This window comes from Homo sapiens, chromosome 18 (assembly GCF_000001405.40).
Source record: "Homo sapiens chromosome 18, GRCh38.p14 Primary Assembly".
NCBI lineage: Eukaryota > Metazoa > Chordata > Mammalia > Primates > Hominidae > Homo > Homo sapiens.
This window is the reverse complement of record NC_000018.10, coordinates 57,832,777-57,844,590: the sequence shown is the minus strand read 5'-3', so window position 1 is coordinate 57,844,590 and position 11,814 is coordinate 57,832,777. Positions and strand designations below refer to the sequence as shown.

The window sequence follows — 11,814 nt, the reverse complement described above, 5'->3', positions numbered from 1 at the left end:
CTACTTGGCCTCCCAAAGCACAGGGATTACAGGCATGAGCCATCGTGCCCGGCCAAAGGGCAGCATTTCTAAGGAGAGATTGTGGATGGGAAGCAATTTTATGTATGTAACGAAATAAGAAAGGAACTAGGCTGGACATTGTTCAGAGGGCAATAAACAGTGGGTGAGTGATAGATGGGGAAAGATATTGCAGGGTACCTTCCAAGTGTGTATAAGGATTAATTTGCATCCTGTATTGCAAATATTTATAAATTCTTTCAAGTCCTTGAAAGAGAAGTCTAAATGTGGGATCAGAATGAATGAGAATGGTGAATTTTCTATAATGTGCAATCAAGCAAACTAGTGGGAAAATGAGAAAAGTCAAAAAAGCTAACAACGACATTGAAATAAAGCCTTGAAAAGAGTTTGATTTGCAAATTGGTATATGAGAGTTTACACGTTTAAATAATTTCCTACACCAAAGTAGCAGTCCTTGCATTTATGATAAACATGCTGCCCAGTGCAAGTCAGAATGTTTGAATTATTACTAAAGGATGTGAGCTGGGCCCTTCATGAAGAGCAGAAGTCAGCTAAACCACTTCGTGCTTTGAGGTACAAATGTAAATGAAATTAGCGGGAACTCTATCCCACCTGCAGTGGGACAGGAGTGGCGCAGCTCTTCCAACCTCCTCTGGCTCAGTTGGCCCCTTCAAGGCTCACTCATGGGTTCTGTGTTCGGGTGCCCCAGCATGACGCCCCAGATGAGAACACAAAGTCCTTTTCTCCATCTCTCCCCACGATGTCATAAGTGTTCACCAAAGGTTGAGAAAACGACCAAGAGGTGGCCGTTCTCACACTGGGGAATGCGATGGCACTCCTGGGCAAACAGCCTAATGCTGAACAGTGCGCACCTTCTCCTTCAGTCCTGAGAATTTCTTGGCAAACCTTCACCCCTAGGTGGGCTTTCCTCCACAGGCTGCAAGGCTTCTGCCACGTGGCTGTGACCTCCTGCTCCTCACTCCCATTACAGACTCCCTCATCCCTCCAGCCCCCTTCCTTGGATCTCTGCCAGCTCAACCAGCCTTGCTTCATTATGCAAAACACTCCAGGTCACACCTCAGCCAAATATCCATTCATGAGCTCTTCTTGCACCCTGGCCTCCCAGGGGAACATGCAAGGCTTTAAAATATTTTTTACTCCTTTCTCCCATCTCTCCAGCCCCAGTGAGAGGAAAAAGACAGGAAAAAGTTTACTTCCCCATGGAAATGATTTATGCTGGACCTCTTGGAAGGTCCAGTTGTCTGGCTAGAAACAGTTGAAGTCTAAAATACCCATAGCTTTCTTTCTGTACAGGAGTGGAAGACAAGTTTCAGAATGTTTGAGCCCTTCACCCAAAGGCACACAAGGCAGGTGGGGAGGCAGGAATCTAACCCAGGCTGAAGTTTCTAGATCTAGTATTTGTACTAAGCTGCCATGCTGCTTTATGTCTGTGACCATGTTGGAAAAAGTGTTTTAGCTGTACCATCACTTAGTTACAACTATTCTGATTCTGTTTAATCATCCACCTAACTTCATAGAAGTTAGGCTCAAGCTTCTATTTTCTTAATGTTTACATTTTTCCAATATAAAATAATAGAAAAAAATTGCTCATTATACTGGGGTAAGTAGTATCCCCTCAAAATTTATGTGTACCCAGAACCTCGGAATGTGACCTTATTTGGTGAAAGGATCTTTGCAGAATAATGAGTTAAGATGAGGTTATACTGGGTTAGATTTGAACCCAAATCCAATGACTTACTCCTTACAAGAAGGCCATATGAAGATGCTCAGGGAAGAAGGGCGTGTGAAGACAGCAGCAGAGATTGCAGGAACACAACTACAAGCCAGGAAACCCCAAGGATGACAGCCACCACCAGAAGCTAAGAGAGGCAAGAACAGATTCTCCCCAACAGCCTCCAGAAGGAACCAATCCTATCCAAACTTCAATTTCAGATTTCTGGGCTCCTGTGAGAGAATAAATTTCTGTTGTTTTAAGTCACCCAGTTTGTGGAACTTTGTTACAGCAGCAGTAGCAAACTAATAGGCTGATTAAAGGAAAATGGAAATTAACAGTGAAAAGGAGAGATGAATGAATGCCCATCTGATTTGCAGCTTCTTGACACTTTTGATGTGTTTCTTTCCAGTCATTTTGTGTTAGGTATAACCATGCTGCACATACACTTCTGTCTCCTGATTTTTGCTTAGTGTTAAAAACATTTATCCAGACTAATGTGTAAGTTTTGAAAGCATGATGTCAATGATTATATAATGTTTCACTAAGAGAATGCTCTAATTTTCTCATGATTATTTATCAGTGTCGTCCTGGGTTCATGTTTATTTAATTAACATGTATATCAACTGGTGCAGTCCTGGCACATTTTGTGACTGTCTGCTCACACTGGAGAGGCAGTTAAGAGCCTAGAGCTCAGGAGAGGTTGCCTGGCTTCCCACCTTACCCCACTTCTTACTAGCTGTATGACCTTGGGCTAATTACTTATTCTCTCTCTGCCTCAAGTTTCCTCACCTATAAAATATGAAAGAAAAGCCTACTTTATAGGGTTGTCTTGAAATAAATTAATGTCTGTACAGGACTGGCTCGTGGTAAGCCAGTGAATAAAATTGGTGAATAAAATTTATTCAGAGCATCTATTATGTGCTGGGTTCTTGAAAATACACTTAGTTCTTGAAAAAACTTTACCCTCCCAAGAAAGCCAACGTGTTAAAAAAAATGCATGCAAAAAGTCATAACAGAAGTAAAACCTTATGGTAAATTGGGGTTGGAATAGATTGTGTAGGTGGTGGACTGGGTTTCCGTTTCCCTCCATTAGACTGTGGCTGCAGTGGATGTCAATTGTTACAAAGTTTTCAAAATATATCATACATGCCTAAAAGTAGAATGACTCATTAAAAGGTGTGAACATTTTTAAAGGCTGTGGACATAATATATTGTCAACATGCTTTCCAAAAAGTAGTAGCAATTCACACTTTCTCCAGCAATACAGAGGGTTCTCTGCATCTTTGGTGGCATTGGAAATGCATTCTATAACCTGTAAGTTAAAAATACTTCCTTATTTTAATTTGTGCTGAATTACTTTTGATGATAGATACAGGTAGGTAGGTAAGTAGGTAGACAAATTCTAAACTTTATTATTTTTGTTTGGTTGGCTGGTTTGGTTTCGTTGTTGTTGTTGTTTTGTTGAGACGCTGTTGAGACAGGGTCATGCTCTGTCACCCAGGCTGGAGTGCAATGGCACGATCATAGCTCACTGTACCCTCTACCTCCTGGGCTCAAGGGATCCTCCCAGCAGAGCTTCCCAAATAGCTGGGACTACAGATGCCTACACTTAAAAAGATCAAAATTTTCCACAACTGAGTGCAGTCAAAAGGATGTGCTACAGAGTCAGAAAACAAGCCTAAAAGACACGTTTAACAGGGCTGTGAAGCACAACAGCATTGCTGGAATAACGGTGCTTAGGAACAACATTTATTCAGATAAATAATTTCTCTTGTTTATGTTCTACAAGGAAAGAAACACATATTTCACTAGATTAGTATAAGTTCTAAATAAGATAACATATGTAACAACTAGTACATAATAGGAGATCAAAATGGTATCGTTTGCTTTGAGAAAGTTATATATATATTATATACATAATATTTTATATATATAATCTTTATATATATATATATAAATTTTTTTTGAGATGGAGTCTCACTCTGTCACCCAGGCTGAAGTTTAGTGGTGCGATCTCAGCTCACTGCAACCTTCGCCTCCTGGGTTCAAGAGATTCTCGTGCCTCAGCCTCCCAAGTAGTTGGGATTATAGGCATGCACCACCACGCCTGGCTAATTTTTGTATTTTTAGTAGAGACGGGGTTTCACCCATGTTGGTCAGGCTGATCTCCAACTCCTGAGCTCAAATGAACCAGCTGCCTCAGTCCACCAAACTGTTGAGATTATAGGCGTGAGCCACTGCACCTGGCCCAATTTTTTTTTTTTTTTTTTGAGACAGTCTTGCTCTGTTGCCCAGGCTGGAGTGAAGTGGCATGATCTCCCGGGTTCAAGTAATTCTCGTGCCTCAGCCTCCCGAGTAGCTGGGATTACAGGCATGCACCACCATGCCAGGCTAATTTTTGTATTTTTTGTAGAGACAGGGTTTCGCCATGTTGGCCAGGCTGGTGTTGAAGTCCTGACCTCAAGTGATCCGCCTGTCTCAGCCTCCCAAAGTGCTGGGATTAGAGGCATGAGCCACCGCACCTGGCCGAAAAAGTTATATTATTTTAAAGCCATGCCTCAAGCATAGCAGATGCATTAGCAAATCTGGAAAGTATACCAAAGGTCAAGTTCAGGAAGTGACAGTTGTGAAAAATATTCATAACCCTCCAGCCACCCAAAGAGAGCAAGCTTACTCTGACCATGCAGATTCACAGAATCTATATGTGCTCTGACAAGATTTGCCATGAGATGCTTACATAAGTAGCCATAGTGATCAAACCAGGCAATCCGGGTACTGTCCACATGTCATAGTTACACATCATTAGCAAAAAATGGAGAAAATCAGAGAACAGTCCACGGCTATCATACCAGAAGTGCTATAACACCATATTCAGCAACAGAACACAGGGAACCGAATGGTGAGACACATTTACAAGTAGATACACTGACAAAAGCAAGTTAAGATTATGTATAAAATATTAGTTCCATGCATGTCTATATCCTGAGGTAATTTTAAATTTAAACATTGTTTTATGTCCAACTATAATTTTTTTCTTTTTAAATGGTTTTATTTTATGTGCAAATAATGAGCAGATGTTGTATCCATAAATTCTACTTTCCAAAAACAGGAGCTTTTTAACAGAAAACCACATAATAACTTTTAAAAGGCACTAGGATTCCTCTGCTTCTAGATCATTGCTAGGCTAGAAAAATAAAGTTTTTTCTACCAGGAATCAGAAGTTAGAACTGAGTATTCTCCAAAGTGGAAATTCTAGAGTGTAGTGTCACTCCAGGCAAAGATTATTCAGTTCTCATCCCAAACATCCACAACTACCTATCAGAAAGGTTAAACCAAGTTGAAACAGTCCAGCATAATTAGGCTTCATCAAACAATGTCATTATGCTCTTCTAAGATGCAAATAAACCAAAACAGGAAATACTAAAATCAAAATATTTGACACCGTCATACAAATTGTTAGTTCCTTGTTGTCTCCCCCCTTCTATAACATTAATAAAGTGAATATTTTACTGCAAAGAATATTTTATTTTATACATCACTAGCCATGATTTTTTGCCATTAGTGATTATACAAATGCTGTCTAGTCCATTATCCAGATGACATAACCATTTTACGTCCACAATTCACTTCTACAGTTATAAGTAGAATTTTCGTGATTTACATAAGTACACATATCAGTGAAGATTTAATACTGAGATGCAATCTAACATCCGTAATATCTTGTGTTTTGTAGATGGCAGTGTAGGAGAGATATATTTTAATCACTTTTCATTTAAATGAACTTATGTAAAAAATAAACTAATAATTTAGCAGTTCCAAGTCTCCAAAGGGCATTTTCAAATGTCCATAAAATAAATGGTTACAGAAATGTTTAAGAAGCATCTTCATGTCCACATCCTGTTGTAACTGCTGTACCATTTTCTCTTCCAACTCCTTCCCTTTGCCTGCAAGACGGGCTTGGGTAAGATGGATGCTTTGCTTGACTTCTTTGATATCCTGAACTTTCTGTAGCTCTTTATTTTTCTTCAATCTGTTCATTATAAATTTAGCTTGGTGTTTCTGTTTGATCTCTTCAACTCTCTTCATTGCATCAATAGTTTTATTCCATAGCTCTCGCTGGTATTTGATAAGTTCATTTCTATGTTTGTCAAATTCAAATGAATTATCTACTGTAAGCTCTTTACCAGCTGCTTTCTGGAATGGTTTGGTCCGCCTAACTTTGCGAGGATTGCACTTCTTTTTAAAGTGTTTATGACATTTAGATTTACAAAATCCGAACACTTTGCAATCGTTGTGGATGAACAACATGTCATAGCCAGGGTAGATGGGCCCCGAACAGAAATAACACTTCTCGATGCGCATGTTGAACCCGTGTGGTTCCCCACTGACCACACGCTAAGCTTGAGAGCCCAACTACAATTTCTTTTTTGACTTTTCATTTTGAAATAATGATAGAGTCACCAGAAGGTTCAAAGAAAGTGTACAGGGAGGCCCAGTGTACCCTATACCTAGCCTCCTTCAGTGGTGGTAACATCTTGAATAATTACAGTACAAAATCAAAATCAGGAAATTGACATTGAAATGCTCCACAGAGCTGATTCAGATTTCATTGTTTTTATAAGCACACACGTGTGTACTTCTATACAATCTTATTACGAGTGTAGCTTCCTGTAACCACCAACACAATCGAGATACACAACTGTGCCATCACTACAAGGCTGCCTCATGCTGTAACTGCCCAGCGGGTTCACCCTGCTCACTGCCTAGACAGAGCTGTTTTATCAAGATAGGGGAATTTCTACAGAGAAAGAGTCATTCATGCAGAGCTGTCTGTGTGGGAGACCAGAGTTTCATTATTACTCAAATCAGTCTCCCTGAGCATTCGGGGATCAGAATTTTTTTTTTTCTTTTGAGACGGAGTCTCGCTCTGTCGCCTAGGCTGGAGTGCAGTGGCGCAATCTCGGCTCACTGCAAGCTCCGCCTCCCGGGTTCATGCCATTCTCCTGCCTCAGCCTCCCAAGTAGCTGGGACTATAGGCGCCTGCCACTGCGCCCGGCTGATTTTTTGTATTTTTAGTAGAGAGGGGGTTTCACCGTGTTAGCCAGGATGGTCTCGATCTCCTGACCTCGTGATCTGCCCACCTCGGCCTCCCAAAGTGCTGGGATTACAGGCTTGAGCCACTGTGCCTGGCCTATTTTTTTTTTTTTTTTTTTTGAGACAGAGTCTTGCTCTGCCGCCCAGGCTGAAGTGCAGTGACGCGATCTTTGCCCCCTGCAACCTCCGCCTCCGAGGTTCAAGCCATTCTCCTGCCTCAGCCTCCTGAATGGCTGGGATTATTGGCGCCTGCCATCACTCCCAGCTAATTTTTGTATTTTTTAGTAGTGACGGGGTTTTGACATGTTGGCCAGCCTGGTCTCAAACCCCTGACCTCAGGTGATCTGCCCGCCTTGGCCTCCCAAGGTGTTAGGATTACAGATGTGAGCCACTGTGCCTGGCCAAGTGTTTAGCTTTTTAAGAAACTGATATTTTCCAGAGTGGCTATGCTATTTACATTACTATAAATGTAGGGAAATAGATAATTTTCTCTCAATCTTTCATAATTCTTAGTTGGGATGGGCCACTGTAACAAAAAACAGATTAAAAAGAGACAAATAAACAGAAGATTATTAACATGTATACCTCGTGTAGTATACAGGGAGATACCCAGAGAAATTGGTAAATTTCAAAGAGGTGGCTTTGAACTCACACTTAAATGCCATGTCTGCTGAAACAAAAAGAAGGGTGTAGGGAAAGTTGATTATGCTCAGGAAAAACTGGCAAATAAGAGTAAGATTTGTTATGGAGATTTAAGTCAGTGCCTTCTCCATCAATAAAGGATAACTGTCTCCAGTGACTTAGAGTCATCCTGTCCTCCTGGGGTAATGTGGATGATAAGGTAACTTCCACTCTGTTTTCAGAGCTTCTCCTGTGGTTGCAGTTTCCCAAAATAATCAGCTCAAAATAGAGAGGGGAGAGGAGAGAAAGAGAAGGAGAGTTATCATAAGGAATTGGCTTATGTGATTGTGGAGGCCGAGAAGTCCCACCATCTGCCATCTGCAAGCTGGCAGCTGGGGAAAGCCAGGGGTATCATTCAATCTGAGTCCAAAGGCCTGAGAACCAGGGGAGCTGATGATGTAAACTGCAGTCTGAGGGAAGGAGAGAGTGATATTCCAGCTCAAGTCATCTGGCAGAAAAGAAGGACCAAATTCAGGGCTGGGCGAGGTGGCTCACGCCTGTAATCCCAGCACTTTAGGGGGCCGAGGCAAGTGGATCACTTGAGCTCAGGAGTTTGAGACCAGCCTGGCCAATATGGTGAAACCCCATCTCTACTAAAAATACAAAAATTAGCTGGGCATGGTGGCATGTGCCTGTAATCCCAGCTATTTGGGAGGCTGAGGCGGGAGAATCGCTTGAACCTGGGAGGCAGAGGTTGCAGTGAGTTAAGATCGCACCACTGCACTCCAGCCCGGGTGACAGAGTGAGACTCTGTCTCCAAAAAAAAAAGGCCAAATTCTCCCTTCCTCTGCCTTAAAGCCCTCAACAGCCCATTGAGGAGGGTGATCCACTCATAGACAGAATTGGAAATGACGTTTTGCCAAGTATCTGGGAACCCCATGACCCAGTCAAGATGAAACATAAAATTAACCATCACAAATGCTAATGATCAGATATAAAACGGGAAGTGGGGTAGGGAGTACTTAGAGGTGGGGGGCAACAGTTGTCACTGCAAACAGGATGGTCAGGGAACCTGGCCTGAGACAGTAACATGTAGATCTGAAGGAGAGAGTAGGGGGCTTGAGAAGGGAAGTAACTCACCCATGACCCTCACCCTTATCCACTAACTCCTAACTCTGTGTTCTCTCCCTGATGATAGCTGGTTGTTTTATTTTCATAAAGTCGTGAGATGTTAGAGATGGAAGTGACCACTGGGGATGGCCATAAGTTTCACTGAAGATCCTAAGTCTATTAAACAAAAAATTGAATTTTTGTGGCAACTCACATTGATAGTGGTGGCTTTCTGGAGCATGGCATAGAGCAAGATCCAGAGGTTAGGTCTGGGTTCAGAGCAAAAAGTGACATTTTCCCCAAGTTCAGCAGGAGGATGGTCACATTAGACAGTCGGTGGCCCATTCCTCTTCTAGAGTGACCCTCCCATTACACGATGAGGACATAGGCAGCTGGAGTGTAACAGACAGGAAGTGGCTGGATTTTCAAAATGGTCTTTAGCATGAACACTTTTATGCCTTCACTGTCTCCATTATTGACTAAAGGAAAGTAAAAGAAATGGAGGAGGCCGGGCGCGGTGGCTCACACCTGTAATCCCAGCACTTTGGGAGGCCAAGGTGGGTGGGTCACCTGATGTCAAGAGTTCGAGACCAGCCTGGCCAACATGGTGAAACCTTATCTCTACTAAAAATACAAAAAATTAGCTGGGCCTGGTGGCAAGCGCCTGTAATCCCAGCTACTTGAGAGGCTGAGGCAGGAGAATAGCTTGAACCCAGGAGGCAGACGTTGCAGAGAGCCGAGATTGAGCCATTGCACTCCAGCCTAGGCGACAGAGTGAGACTCCGTCTCAAAAAAAAAAAAAAAAAAAAAAAAAGAAAAAGAAAAAAGAAAAAGAAATGGAGGACTCCACTCTTGGTTACAATGAAAAGAGTCCCCGCCTCCCAAACTTGCAGTTTCTCTCAGGCAACCATTTTATTCCAGGGCTTGGCCAGGTCTCCAGAAATGTTATTTTTCTCTTCTTCTTTGTGGATTCAGCCCAGGGAGGAAAGGTATAATTGCAACCCCACACCCACAAAGATGCTCCTTGGACTTGGATAAAAGAGCACAAGACACCGTTTTTATCACTTAACCCGGTAAAAGAAGATACCTACACAGATCACCAGGACCACACAGTAGGAACAGAGGCCCCCCTTCCCTTGTGCTGCCCAAGTTCCTAGAGGGATCTGAATGAAGCAACTGTTTAACTAATGCAACCATGTTTAAAGTTCCCAAGGGATCCACACTCTTTAAATGATGCATAAATTGAGTCATTTTGTAAAATACAGTACCTTGATTTATTTGCTTAGTAGCTTTTAGTTTGTCTACTAGGTTTCTCTAAAGAAGAATACAAATGTATTTAGGCATAAATTGTTTTCAATCATTTTCTTGGTGTCTACATTACCCTCCATGTAATATATTAGGGGTTCCTAAGCCACAAATGGTATGATTGAAGGTATAAAAACTTGAAGCTCATTGCAACCTTAAACTCCTGGGCTCAAGCAATCCTCCTGCCTCAGCCTCCCAAGCAGCTGGGACTACAGGTGGGTGTCACCATGCCCAGCTAATTTTTAAAATTTTTTGTAGGAGGCCTTGCTATGTTGCTCAGGCTGGTCTTGAACTCCTGGCCTCAAGTGATCCTCCCACCTTGACCTCCCAAAGTGCTGGGATTACAGGCATGAGCCACCGTGCCCAGCCCCCATCTCTTTTTAATACACTAGAATTATGAAATGACAGCAGAAAGAATTCACCTTCTAGTTAGCAGTTGGATCAAACAAGTAAAATAATTTGAAGATGAGCAAAAGGAACCTTGTTATTTTTGACTTAAATGTTCTTGAGAACAAAAATGATGATGCCAGGCTTCAGAAGATGGCCCCTTAAGGGTTTAATGGTTGAAAATCATCCTCACTTTCCTACCCCTTTCAACACACACACACACACACACACACACACACACGCACGCAGTGTTGGGCTCAGTGACACCACATAACAATAGCAACAGGCTTAAGGACAGTGCAAGCACAGGTGCATCAGGCTACTGTCGGGAGAAGGGAAACTAGAATATGCACCGAGAATAAAAAATGGCTTGGGTGAGTCATCAAACAACCCTGTCAAAAAGCAGGATGTCTGATTTCACAGCCTCCATTGCTCCCTCCAACACCACATGGAACATGAACTCCAAACTGATAAAGTCTCAGGCAGGTCAATCACCTTCTACTCAGCCCCAGTGTGAAAGAGGAGGGACTCATATGGAAAAGCCTGCTCTAAACACAGGCTTATCTGTGTTGCAAGATGATGAAACATTACAGACTTAGGGAATTCATTCTCAGGTGAGAATTCAGTAACTGGCACTGGGGGTTGTAAAATATACTGGCCATGAGTCCCTTAGGTAGTCGAAGGATAAGACGACCAAAGTCTAACCTGAGCCGATGTTACTGACGTGAGTGTCAGTACATGCATCTGAATCTTACTCTGTCAATTTTCAAGAAAGGAAATGAAAGTAAAAGCATTTGTCACTTGAGGAATTTCTCTGTATGCATGATTATCATTTGTTGCATTTCTCACATATTTAAAGTTGCTTTTGAGCCAAGCTATGAAGTGAGTAAAACTTGACTTTTGTTTCTTGATTCCTTATTTTCTCGCCTCATATTTTTTTTTCTTTTGACAGTTAAATTAGTTAGGATACTAGTTTCACTCCTACTACAGAGAGAGTGGCCCCAAATAATACTGATTTAAGTGAGATGAAGGTTTATTTCTCTGACACAAAAAAGTCCAAGCTAGTATGCCGCTACCAGTCATACCAGGAATAGTTTTAGGGACTCAAATGCTTACCTAGTTACTTTGCAATCTGCAACATATGCTTTTTTCATCTTCTCTTGGTGCAACATGGCTGCTCCTGATCCTGCCAATTCATCTGTATTCCCTCCTGCAGAAAGAAAAGAACGGGCACGGGGCATGACTTGAAAGTTGCATGTATCACTTCTGCTCAAGCTCCATTGGCCAGAATGTAGTCCTACACCCACACCAAACTGCAAGGGAGAGATATTTTAAAGCACAGAGTGGTGATTTGGGTTCAGAATGAAGACCCTGAGTGATTTGGAAAAGGCTACATCTGTTCACTATGTGATAAGTTGGTGATTAATTCAAGGCTATACTGAGGAGGAGAGCCAGGAGGCCTGAGTGCACCAAAAAGATGCTGACAGATTCAGTGGTGATAGGAAGTGACCTAGGGCCTGGAGAGAAACTAGGGGACTCCCAGG

General features: G+C 42.2%; 1 pseudogene, besides 4 other annotated features; it reads right to left on the bottom strand.

Annotated features, from left to right (window-relative positions):
* On the bottom strand, positions 5,354 to 6,161 carry RSL24D1P11 (ribosomal L24 domain containing 1 pseudogene 11; annotated as a pseudogene).
* Positions 10,723 to 10,772: an enhancer, noted in NCBI's record as "active region_13380". NCBI's record gives its function as "activates an Ori minimal core promoter by ATAC-STARR-seq in GM12878 lymphoblastoid cells {active_cell/tissue: GM12878}" and the evidence as "EXISTENCE:reporter gene assay evidence [ECO:0000049][PMID:35858748]".
* Positions 10,813 to 10,902: an enhancer, noted in NCBI's record as "active region_13379". NCBI's record gives its function as "activates an Ori minimal core promoter by ATAC-STARR-seq in GM12878 lymphoblastoid cells {active_cell/tissue: GM12878}" and the evidence as "EXISTENCE:reporter gene assay evidence [ECO:0000049][PMID:35858748]".
* Positions 10,943 to 11,142: an enhancer, noted in NCBI's record as "active region_13378". NCBI's record gives its function as "activates an Ori minimal core promoter by ATAC-STARR-seq in GM12878 lymphoblastoid cells {active_cell/tissue: GM12878}" and the evidence as "EXISTENCE:reporter gene assay evidence [ECO:0000049][PMID:35858748]".
* Positions 11,520 to 11,814: a silencer, noted in NCBI's record as "tiled region #13131; HepG2 Repressive non-DNase unmatched - State 23:Low". NCBI's record gives its function as "represses a minimal TATA promoter and a strong SV40 promoter by Sharpr-MPRA in HepG2 cells {active_cell/tissue: HepG2}" and the evidence as "EXISTENCE:reporter gene assay evidence [ECO:0000049][PMID:27701403]".